Consider the following 12,315-nt stretch of genomic DNA (forward strand, 5'->3'; position numbering starts at 1 on the left):
GGCCACTTTTCCTACCAGGGGCATGAGGCATGACCTCCTCTGCCTTCCACAGAAGTCCATCCCCATCTTGTCAGTGCAAGTGGCTTGCACTAATTCACTTCTGTCCCCATTTTTTTAATCTTCCATCCACCCCACGACCACCATCAGGTTTGTAAACTCTTTCAAGCAGATGGTGGTTTTGCCTTATTTTACTTTGTGTTATTTTTGTAACTTCAGGAGGCTGCTGGTGGCAGCAGATAAAACAAACCAGGAAAAATCCAAATGGACCCAACTTCTTTAACTGGGTTCCTTCTTTCTTTTCTTCTCTCTCTCTCTCATTCTGTTTGTTTGTTTTTGAATTAGGGTCTCACTCTGTTGCCCAGGCTGGAATGCAGCAGTGTGAACACTGCTCACTGCAGCCTCCACCTCCTGGGCTCAAGTGATCCTCATGCTTCAGCCTCCTGAGTACCTGGAACCACAGATGCATGCCACCATGCCCAGCTAATTTTGGGTTTTGGTTTTTTGTTTTGTTTTTGTTTTTGTTTTTGGTAGAGACAGGGTTTCACTATGTTGCCTAGGCTGGTCTCAAGCTCCTGGGCTCAAGTAATCCACATCAGTATCCTGAAGTGCTGGGATTACAGGTGTTAGCCACCACACCCAGCCCAGTTTCTTAATTTAATGCAGCAGAACCTGCTTTGGCCTCCATGAACTGAAAGGCCATTGAACTGCATTTAGAATCACTGGGTAGGCGGGGCACAGTGGCTCACGCCTGTAATCCCAGCACTCTGGGAGGCTGAGTTGGGCAGATCACGAGGTCAAGAGATGGAGACATTCCTGGCCAAGATGGCGAAACCCCGTCTCTACTAAAAATACAAAAATTAGCCGGGCGTGGTGGCGCACACCTGTAGTCCCAGCTACTCGGGTGGCTGAGGCAGGAGAATCGCTTGAACCTGGGAGGCGGAGGTTGCGGTGAGCCGAGATCGCGCCACTGCACTCCAGCCTGGCGACACAGCAAGACTCCATCTAAAAAAAAAAAAAAATCACTGGGCAGGTTGGGGGACCAGGATCTAAAAATGGGCAGGGACACAGTGTGGCTGGAACCATGGCCAAAATCACATCCAGTGGAGAAAAAAAAAACAGACCACAAGGGGCCACAAGGGGCATGTCAAGACCACAGGCGTCTGACATAGACGTCACTTCTGTCCCCAGGATGGGACGCTGCCATTCTCACTTCAGCTAATGCCACTAGAAAGGAGTCACCACTGCCCTTGCATCCTTGTACCACTAGCTCCTCTTTGAAAGCCTAGAACAGGTGCCTTTGATTGTCTGACATGACATAATTTTTCACCTTTATTCTAGTAATGTGGTGAATTATTGCATTGTTGATTTTTTGGTGTTAAACCTACCATGGCTTCTTAGATTAAACCCAATTTGATTATGATGTATTATCCTTATACAGAAAGCACTGGACTCAATTTGCTAATATTTTATTTAAGACATTTGCATTGATGTTCATGAGATGGGCCTGTAATTTTCCTTTCTTGTGGAATTCTTGTCTAATTTGAGTATCAAAAAATTATGCTGTTCTCATAAAACAAGTTGGAAATCCATCTTCCCTCCCCCTTTTTATAATTAAGTAGAATAATTTGCGTATAATGGTGTTATCTCGTCCTTAAATGTTTGGGATGATTCACCAGTGATGCCATCTAAATCTTTAAGATTGTTTGTTCATTGAAGTTTTTAATTACAGAATCAATCCTTTCAGCTGGAGCTGGAAAAAAGAAGGAAAAATGTTTTAAACCATTACAAATTCAATTACTTAAGTGGCACTATTTCAATTGTCTACTTCTTCATGTGTCAGTTTGAGTCAGATATGTATTTCTAGGAATTTGTCTATTTCATCTAAATTCTTTAATTTATTGGCTTAAAATTGTTTATTATATATTTTAAGCATCTGGGATCTGTGGTTTTGGCCCTTTTCATCTCTGATATTGGTTATTTGTGTTCTCTTTTTTCTTGATTCATTTTCTTTTTTCTTTTTGAGACAGACTTTCACTCTTATTGCCCAGGCTGGAGTGCAATGGCATGATCTCGGCTTACTGCAACCTCCGCCTCCCGGGTTCAAGCAATTCTCCTGCCTCAGCCTCCCAAGTAGCTGGGATTACAGGGATGTGCCACCACATCTGGCTTATTTTTTGTATTTTTAGTAGAGATGAGGTTTCTCCATATTGGCCAGGCTGGTCTCAAACTCCTGACCTCAGGTGATCTGCCGGCCTCAGCCTCCCAAAGTGCTGGGATTACAGGCGTGAGCCACTGTGCCTGGCCTCTTGATTAGTTTTCTTAGGGTGTTATCCATTTTATTAGTCTTTTTAATAATCCATTTTGGTTCTGTTAATTTTCTGTACTATATGTATACTTTTTTATATTTCTGAAATTTTTACTCTTATTATATCGTGCCTTCTACATCTTTGGGTTTAATTAGCTATTCTTTTCCTATACTCATGAGTTGGACATTAAATAAATACTTTTACTTAGATAATTGATATTGAACCATTTTTTTCCTTTTTTTTTTTTTTTTTTTTAATATTGCCTTGACTCATCTTCAACTCTTGGGCTCCAGTGATCCTCCCACTTCAGTCTCTCTAGTAGCTGGGACTATAGATGCATGCCACTGTGCCCAGCTCCTTTATTCTTTTTTTACATATGTATTTATGGCTATATTTTCTTTCTAAGTACAGCTTTATATGCATCCCACAACTTTTGATATGTCATATTTCAATTACCATTTGTTCAAAATATCTTTTTATTTTCATTGAGATGTCTTCTTTGACCTATAGGTTATTCAAATATATTCTGCTTAACCTCTAACCCTTCCAATTCATATTACCAACTTAGAAAAAAAAGAAAAACTTCTAAACCTTGGGGATTTTCCAGTCATGTTTTTAAACTAATTTTTTGCTTAATTCCCTTGTAGTCAGAGAATATGCTCTGTTTGATTTCAGACCTTCGAAATTTTTTGAGGCTTGCTTAACAGATAAACATAGGGCTCATTTTGATTAGGGCTTCCTGTGCACTCCAAAAGAAGTGTCTCACTGCACTGTATTCTGTGACTGTATATTCTCAAATATTCTATATCCTTTCTCTACCTATATCCTTGCTATTTGTCGTCTTATTCTATTAGTTACTGAGAAAAGTATGCTTTTTAAATCTCCTCACTATTTTTGTGCATTTCTCCATTTGATCCTGGCATAAAAACAGCACAACTCAGCCGGGCACAGTGGCTCACGCCTGTAATCCCAGCACTTTGGGAGGCCGAGGCAGGCGGATCACCTGAGGTCAGGAGTTCCAGACCACTGTGGCCAACATGGTGAAATCCCGTCTCTACTAAAAGTACAAAGATTAGCCAGGCATGGTGGCGCATGTCTGTAGTCCTAGCTACTCAGGAAGCTGAGGCAGGAGAATTGCTTGAATCCGGAAGTCAGAGGTTACAGTGAGCCAAGATCATGCCACTGCACTCCAGCCTGGGCAACAAGAGCGAGACTCTGTTTCAAAACAAAACAAAACAAAACAAAACTCTATGAACTGAATGGTGATTGTGGGTGGAGGGTAATGTTGGATCAAGGATAAAGATGGCAGAAAGGGCCAGGCGTGGTGGCTCATGCCTGTAATCCCAGCACTTTGGGAGGCCAAGGCGGGCAGATCGCAAGGTCAGGAGTTCGAGACCAGCCTGATCAACATGGTGAAACCCCATCTCTACTAAAAATACAAAAATTAGCCAGACATGGTGGCTTGCACCTGTAATCCCAGCAATTTGGGAGGCTGAGGCAGGAGAATCGCTTAAGCCTGGGAGGCGGAGGTTGCAGTGAGGCCATTGCACTCCAGCTTGGGCAACAGAGCAAGCCTCTGTCAAAAAAAAAAAAAAAAGGAAAGAAAGAAAGAAATAGAGAAAAGAGAAAAAAGGAAATTCTGAAATCTGGCCTGGCACGTGTGACCACGTGACCAGTTCCTTCAGAAGGCAGTTCCACTGCCCGGAATGAATCTCCTTAGCTCTTGGTTCCATCCTCTGGGCTCTTGGTTCCATCCTCTGGGCTCTTGGTCTATTCTCTGTGTTAGCTTTCCTTTTCCATAATAGCCAAGATTTGCACCTGAATAATTTTCTTGCTTGCTTCCTGCCTATGGTATTTCAGGGGCTCAAAAGCTTCTTTTTGTTTGTATACTCCAGCTCGACCACTATCTGTCATATGGATTAAAGGAGGCAATTCATGTAAAGATCTTAGAGCAGGGCCTGGTCCCTAGTTAGTCCTGTACAACTGCTAGCCCTTAACTTTAATATTATGGGAGTGTTGGTGAGAAGGGAGGAGGGAAGAGGAAGGAAGGAAGGAAGGAAGGAAGGAAGGAAGGAAGGAAGGAAGGGAGAGAGGGAGAGAGGGATAGAGGGAGGAAGGAAGTAGAAGGAGGGAGGGAAGGAAAGAAGGCAAGGTTGGAAGGAGGGAGAAAGAGAGGGAGGAAGAAGCAAGGAAGGGAGGGAAGGAAGACATAAAAGAAGGGAGGAGGGAAGGAAAGAAGGAAGGAAGACAAGAAGGAAGGAGGGAGGGAAGGAAGAAAGGAGGGAAGGAATAAATGAAAGAAGGAAGGAGGGAAGAAAGGAGGGAAGGAGGTAAGACAGGAGCAGACACAGGGTCTTTTGGACAGGGTAGCTGATGGGTTTGTTGGGAGACCCTGCTTGTGAGGACTCCTGGGGCCGGGGCGATGCACCTGCACCTGGCTGCGGGCGTGCCAGGTGGCTGTAGACGTAGGGCTGGGGCTGCTCTCATCATCTCAGCTTTTCACCTTTGAGGTTTTAATTGGAAAAGAGATGTCACCAGGGTGTGAGTGCGTTACAAGGGCAGGTGCAGGGGAGGCTGATGACTGAGAGGACAGAAACAAGGACAGGGTGGCAGAGCCCAACATGGGGCAGGGGATAAGGAGGTACAAGGAGGGTGGCCTCGTTGTCAGCCTCCAGGCATTGGGACTGGCAATGGGGGACATTACCCTGGGAGAAGAGAAGACTTAGGGATGAAGCTGCCTCATGTCTGTGGGGGACTTTGCTGGAATAAGCACCAATTCATGCCTTAAGGGTCTGAACGAGGAGCCCCAGCTCCACCTTGGCACGCCCTTCTTCATTCTCTCTCCATAGTCTCCATGGACAAGCTGGGGGCAGCTGCCATCCCTGTCTCATGGAATAACAATTGTCCCTTCTCGGAACTCCTTAGGCTCAGCCAGGGCCTCTTCATTCCTGCTGTTGTTTGGTCTAGAGGGGCCCTTGGGCTGCTCAGCTGGTGCCGGTTGCCTCTAAGGGCACAGCTCCCATAATCAGTGCCTGGTAGAGAGTTGGTGCTTGAAAAATATTTGTACAGCAAGGGTAGGAGGGGATGAATGAGGAAGGGAGACCCTCTCCCTCTTAACCCTCAGTTTGCAGAAACTCATGATTCTCCAAAACCCTCTTTGTCAGAGGCGTTTGAACCAGAGCAACTCCATCTTGAATAGGGACTGGGTAAAATGAGGCTGAGACCTACTGGGCTGCATTCCCAGATGGTTAGGCATTCTAAGTCATTGGATGAGATAGGAGGTCGGCACAAGATACAGGTTATAAAGACCTTGCTGATAAAACAGTTTGCAGTAAAGAAGCCGGCCAAAACCCACCAAAACAAAGATGGCCACTGAGAGAGTGACCTCTGGTCCTCACTGCTACACTCCCACCAGCGCCATGACAGTTTACAGATGCCATGGCAATGTCAGGAAGTCACCCTATATGGTCTAAAAGGGGAAACATAAATAATCCACCCCTTGTTTAGCATACCATCAAGAAATAACCATAAAAATAGTTAACCAGGCCAGGCGTGGTGGCTCAAGCCTGTAATCCCAGCACTTTGGGAGGTCGTGGCAGGTGGATCACGAGGTCAGGAGTTCAAGACCAGCCTGTCCAAGATGGTGAAACTCTGTCTCTACTAAAAATACAAAAATTAGCCGGGCGTGGTGGCAGACGCCTGTAATCCCAGCTACTTGGGAGGCTGAGGTAGAGAATTGCTTGAGCCTGGGAGACGGAGGTTGCAGTGAGCTGAGATCACGCCACTGCACTCCAGCCTGGGCAACAGAGTAAGACTCTGTCTCAGAAAAAAAAAAAAAAAGTTAACCAGCAGCCCTCCAGGTCGCTCTGCCTATGGAGTAGCCATTCTTTCATTCCTTTACTTTCCTAATAAATAAACTTGCTTTCACTTTAATCTATGGACTTGCCCAGAATTCTTTTTTGCGTGAAATCCAAGGACCCTCTTTTGGGGTCCGGATTGGGATTCCTTTCCAGTAACATCTCCGTACTCCCTCTGTAGGACACATGAACCTGAAACAGGGAAGTGCCTCCTCTTCATTGTGTCTGAATGAGAAATAGCCCAGTATCTTCCCCTTTATGTGGGCATTCAAGAATCGTGAGCACTTTCAAGAAATCCTAACTACCGCTAAAATTGCACTGGGGCTCAGAAAATTATACCCCAAAATATGGAACTAAAGAAGCAGCTTCAGTTCCTTTGAAGAACCTTCAAAATCTCGCCCTGACCTTCCCCTCACTCCCTGTCTCTCTGATTTTTTCCAAAACACCAGAAGGTACTGTCTTTGGCATTTCCATATCTGACTAAGGAAACTTCTTTCTAAAAGAAATACAATTGCCTGAAGCCTCCCTTCATAGGAATCTCATCAAATAACCAGGAAAGAAAGATTAACCACCTGAGAAGAGACGGATCATCACCGCCTCCAGACAGACTTTTCTTGCATTTTTCTGAGGGCAACTCCAAGAGATAGCCTAGGGGGGTTACCTGCATAATAAGACAGGCTGCGTTCACAATGACTTTCTGCTTCTCACCTTCACACCACCTACCCAAAGAACAGAGAAGAACTTTGTCCCAGGCCATTGTTCCTCGGGCGCATTCACTTTCCCAGAAAATCATTTACTCCTATGCCCCTCATTTTCCCTTCCCCTATCAAGAAATATCTGCAGGCATCTGGACCTCATTGAGTTACTGGGTAATCATTCTCCCACCATTCTGCTATGCTATACACATGAAATTAATTTGTATGTCTTGTTCCCCTATTAATCTGTCTATTAGCAGTTCATTTTCAACAAAACTTCAGAGGGCAGAGTGAAGGAAGGAAATTTTCTCTTGGCACCCACAATTGTCAATAGAAACCCTAATTAAGCATCCCTCTGAGGGGAGCCTGATGTGGTTTGCAGGGCAGACAGGGAGCTGCCTCCAGAAAAGGGCCTGAAGCCTGAAGCACTGCAGAGGAGAGGGTTACTGGTGCCCCAGATGGCCCTACAATTCAGGCGGATCCCACTGCCCCGCTTCACCCCTGCAACACGCCCTCCCCAGTCTCAGCCTTTTCATTGAGCTTCTCTCATGCAGCACTGCAGCTGGGCTACTTCACCAGCCTTCGGTTTGACCTCAAGGGCAAAGAGGAATCAATTTGTGCAGAGAACTGGAATGAAAGAGATTTCAATTGACCTTTGAATGGGGTTTTAATTTGCTTTATTCCAGCCAAAGGGACCTCGTGAAGAGACCCTTGAGACTGCTTTTATCCACTAATGCGCGCATTAGTGCAGCAGCCTGGGCCAAGGTCTGCATGGTCTGGGTGCCGCAGAGCACAGTGGGGAGGGCCAGAGTCCATGCCCCTCCCTAGAGCAGGTTGTCAGCACCCTCAGGGTCCAAAGCAGAGTCAAGAGTGGAGGAAGGGCCTAGGTAATATGGTGGAACCCCATTTCTACAAATATATATATATATATACACGTATATACACACACATACAAAAATTAGCCGGGCATGGTGGCACACGCCTGTAGTCCCAGCTCCTTAGGAGGCTGAGGTGGGAGGATCACTTGAACCTGGGAGGTGGAGGCTGCAGTGAGCCATGATCATGCCACTGCACTTCAGCCTGGGCAACAGAGCCAAACCCTGCCTCAGAAAAAAAAAAAAATAGAGTGGAGGAAGAAGCAGTGGGAGGGGGTGAGGTGACCTGGGTTCTAGCCCCAGCTCTGTGGCCAGCAGACACAGGGACCTGGGTCAGTCACTCCCCCCACCCCCACCCCACCTCCAGGCCTCAGCCCCCTCATTTGAACAATGGGGGCGGGGAGGATGTGGTCCGTTTCAGGCCTGTCATTCTATGATTCTAGGCTCAGATCTAGAGTCAAGCTCTGTGATTAAAAAACAAACAAACAATAGTCTTACAGAACGTGGCCCCTAATGGGCACAGCTGAGTCCTCTGGGCTGAGGAGGTAAGCTCTGTCCTTCTGTCTCTTGGGCCTTTCTCGTGTCCTGTTTCTCTCTGAGAATCTGCTCCAGTCTGCACACATGGGCAGGCCAGTTCTCTGCTCTGTTCACTCTGAATCCCAGAGGAAACTAATGGGGCCACTAATTACCAGCACTCCTGCTGCAGGCAGCCACCCATGGGGTCCAAGTGGCCTGTGGAAAGCCAGCCCTGATCAAAGAGCCCTCTGCAGCCGCTCCTCACACAGAGCCAGTTCCATGGGACACCCCAGTAGAGAGCCTGTAAGTTTGTGTGCACAGTCCTGCATCAGCAATGGCAGGTTCTCTCTTACCCTGAGCTTATTACACCTGGGTATATTGCCATGTGGAGCCACATGTATTCTTTTAGAACCACTCCCTTATCCCAAGCCCTTTTTTCACAATGAAGGCTTGCGCCTCTGCAATCCAAGTAGACTTCCTGGAAGTAGTGTCTTTGCTGAAGATGTTGTGGACATAACAGACACACCAGGCTCTGCTAGATGACGTCCCTGCTGCCGCTCTTTCCAGACAGAGCTCAGGTGCCAGCGGCCACCATTCTGACTCAGCGGTGGTCATAATGGTCCTTTTGTGGGGGACAGGCCTTTGTTAGGGGCTCGAGCATGACTGCTACTTTTCCAGAAGAATGCGGAGTTCTCCAGCCAGCAGTTGAGGTAGGGAGAGTGACGTGGTGGCCAGGAAGGACGCCACTAATGCACATCCATTAGTGAGTGCATCACAGGGCGGCATTCAGAAGCTTCCGAGCGGTCCTCCTTCCTCCAGACCCAACAATGGCTGCGTGGAGGGGGCTTGAAGTGGCCTTTTTACAGGCACTCAGCTCAGTCTCCCTCTCCAGCCCCCGCCCCCGTTAGGTACCCATCTTCCATTTCCATGCCTGCTGCTCAAAGGAATGGAGCAGCCAGGACAGCGAATCCAGGCAGCCCACCTGCGGCCCGGAGAGCCCCCACTGTGCCCTCAGTCCCATTGCCCCAGGAGAGGGACACCAGGCTGGGCAGAGCTGGTGCACAGTGACCTGCTATGCAGCAGCTCAAAGAGCCCATGACTCTGTGTGTGTCTGTGCATGTGCATGCACGTGTATGTGTGTGTGCATGTGTGTGTGTGTGTGATGGGAAGGGTGCAACGACTCCTGAAATGGGTTTGAAAGGTAGTTTGGTTTGTTTTTAACACGCTGTCCAAAGCCTTTATGTCCAGTTGAAAGTGATTCCTTTCCCAGCATCCCCCTAGGCAGCTGTTCTTGGTGCCATTGAGGGGCTGGGGCTGGAGCCTTTGGCAGACCCCTTAGGGGAAATGCTTCCAGACCAGGTCTAATCCGCCTGAGAAGGCCAGTCTCTGACTTCAACATCTCATTTCAAAAAACATGTATTCGCTGGGCATGGTGGCTCACACCTATAATCCCAAAACTTTGGGATGCCAAGGTGGGTGGATCGCTTGAGGTCAGGAGTTTGAGACCAGCCTGTCCAACATGGCAAAACCTCATCTCTACTAAAAATACAAAAAATTAGCAGAGTGTGGTGGTGTGTGCCTGTAGTCCCAGCTGCTCAGGAGGCTGAGGCAGGAGAATCTCTTGAACCCGGGAGGCGGAAGTTGCAGTGAGCCAAGATTGTGCCTCTGCACTCCAGCCTGGGTGACACAGTGAGTGAGACTCTGTCTCAAAAAACAAAAACATGTATAAATTATGTTCTTTTAATTTATCCTTTATATTATCGTTCAACCTTTAGGTTGAAGTTATTTTTCTATGTATTATGAACATGAGAAGGTTATATTATCAATGAATTTCATTTCAAGATAATAAATAAGGTCTCACTACTTATTTATTTACTCTTGAAAGGGTATTTTGCTGCTGATGGGAATGTAAAATAATGCCACTTTGTCAAAGAGTTTGGCAGTTCCTCAAAATGTTAAACATAGAGTTACCATATGACCCAGGAATTCCCTTCCTAGGTATATACTCAAACATTTTTCCACACATTTTGATAAAATTTGTATGCTCACAGATGCATTATTCATAAGAGCCAAAAAGTGGTAGCAACCCAAATGTCTACCTACTGATGAATGGATAAATAAAAAGTGATATATCCATAAAATGGAATATTATTTGAGAACAACAAAAAAAAAAATGAAATACTGGCGGGGTGTGGTGGCTCACATCTGTAATCCCAGCACCTTGGGAGGCTGAGGTGGGTGGATCACCTGAGGTCGGGAGTTTGAGACCAGCCGGACCAACATGGAGAAACCCCATCTCTACTAAAAATACAAAATTAGCCGGGCGTGTTGGTGCATGCCTGTAATCCCAGCTACTTGGGAGGCTGAGGCAGGAGACTCGCTTGAACCCAGGAGGCAGAGGTTGCAGTGAGCCAAGATCATGCCATCGCACTCCAGCCTGGGCAACAAGAATAAAACTCCGTCTCAAAAAAAAAAACAAAAAAACAAACAAACAAAAAAAAAGAAAAAGAAATGAAATACTGATATATACTACAACATGGATGCATATTTAAAACATGATGCTAATTGGAAAAAGTCAGACACTAAAGTTCACATATTGTATGATTCCACTTATATGAAATACCCAGAATAGGCAAATCCATAGAGCCAGGAAGTAGATTAGTGGTTGCTAGGGGTTGGGAGTGTCAATGGGAAATGAAGAGTGGCTGCAAATGGATACAGGTTTCCTTTTTGTTTGTTTCAATAGTTTTTGCTTTGTTTGTTTGTTTGTTTGTTGAGATGGAGTCTCACTCTGTCGCCCAGGTTGGAGTGCAGTGGCATGATCTCGGCTCACTGTAACCTACACCTCCCAGGTTCAAGCAATTATCCAGCCTCAGCCTCCCAAGCAGCTGTGATTACAGGCATGTGCCACCAAACCGGCAATATTTTGTATTTTTAGTAGAGACGGGGTTTCACCACGTTGCCAGGCTGGTCTCGAACTCCTGACCGCAAGTGATCCTCCCGCCTAAGCCTCCCAAAATGCTGGGATTATAGTCGTGAGCCACTGCCCCCAACCTATTTTAATAGTTTTTGAAGTACATATGGTTTTTGGTTACATGGATGAGTTCTTTAGTGGTGAAATCTGAGTTTTTAGTGTACCCGTCACTTAAGCAGTGCACACGGGTACAGGGTTTCTTTCTTGCAGTGATGACAATGTTTTAAAATTGATGATAGTTACACAGTTTGGTAAATATACTAAAAGCCATTTTATCGTATACTTTAAATAGGTCAATTGTATGGGTATGAATTAAATCTCAAAACTGTTATTATTATTATTATTATTTTTGAGACGAAGTTTTGCTCTTGTCATTCCAGGCTGAAGTGCAATGGCGCGATCTCGGCTCACTGCAACCTCCACCTCCCAGGATTCAAGCAATTCTCCTACCTCAGCCTCCTGAGTAGCTGGGATTACAGGCAAGTGCCACCACGCTTGGCTGATTTTTGTATTATTAGTAGAGACGGGGGTTTCACCATGTTGCCCAGGCTGGTTTCGAACTCCTGACCTCAGGTGATCTGCCCGCCTCAGCCTCCCAAAGTGCTGGGATTACAGGCGTGAGCCACTGCGCCTGGCCTCAAAACTGTTATTTTAAAAAGGATGATTTTGGAGGAAAATGGATAAACAAATTGTGGTATATTCATAGGCTGGAATACTACTCAGCAATAGAAAGGAGCTACTGATATGTGCGACACCATGAATGAATCTCAAACCATTATGTTGCATAAAAGAATCCAGACACAAAAGACAACATATCTTGTGATTCCATTTTCATGAAGTGTGAGAACAGGCAAAAGGAAGCTATTCAAATGGGAAGTGACTAGAAAAGGTCCCAGGAACTTTCTGGGGTGATGGAAATGTTCTGTATCTTGCTTGGTGGATCGACTCTTGCTGAACTGTGAACTTAGTTCACACAATGCACATTGTGCATTATGATGTGTGTTATTACACACTGATTACCAAGCAAGATACTATAATTGCCAAATGGGTTCATCTTGCCTGTTGCCTAGAAAAGCCAATGCACGGAGAATA

The 12,315-nt window shown here is 45.9% G+C and overlaps 6 annotated features.

The window, feature by feature from the left end:
• Positions 6,994-9,749: an enhancer, noted in NCBI's record as "-11 kb to -8 kb region". NCBI's record gives its function as "activates a minimal chicken beta-globin promoter by transgenesis in arcuate neurons {active_cell/tissue: arcuate neuron}" and the evidence as "EXISTENCE:transgenic organism evidence [ECO:0001131][PMID:15798195]".
• Positions 7,424-7,597: a conserved region, noted in NCBI's record as "conserved region; nPE2". NCBI's record gives the evidence for it as "COORDINATES:sequence alignment evidence [ECO:0000200][PMID:15798195]".
• Positions 8,621-9,122: an enhancer, noted in NCBI's record as "H3K4me1 hESC enhancer chr2:25401427-25401928 (GRCh37/hg19 assembly coordinates)". NCBI's record gives its function as "activates a minimal SCP1, AML or CMV promoter by ChIP-STARR-seq in naive and primed H9 embryonic stem cells {active_cell/tissue: H9 hESC(naive and primed)}" and the evidence as "EXISTENCE:reporter gene assay evidence [ECO:0000049][PMID:30033119]".
• Positions 8,660-9,295: a conserved region, noted in NCBI's record as "conserved region; nPE1". NCBI's record gives the evidence for it as "COORDINATES:sequence alignment evidence [ECO:0000200][PMID:15798195]".
• Positions 8,976-9,129: a conserved region, noted in NCBI's record as "conserved region; nPE1core similar to MaLR retrotransposon". NCBI's record gives the evidence for it as "COORDINATES:sequence alignment evidence [ECO:0000200][PMID:21876128]".
• Positions 9,123-9,622: an enhancer, noted in NCBI's record as "H3K4me1 hESC enhancer chr2:25401929-25402428 (GRCh37/hg19 assembly coordinates)". NCBI's record gives its function as "activates a minimal SCP1, AML or CMV promoter by ChIP-STARR-seq in naive H9 embryonic stem cells {active_cell/tissue: H9 hESC(naive)}" and the evidence as "EXISTENCE:reporter gene assay evidence [ECO:0000049][PMID:30033119]".

Source organism: Homo sapiens, chromosome 2, assembly GCF_000001405.40.
Source record: "Homo sapiens chromosome 2, GRCh38.p14 Primary Assembly".
Classification (NCBI taxonomy): Eukaryota; Metazoa; Chordata; class Mammalia; order Primates; family Hominidae; genus Homo; species Homo sapiens.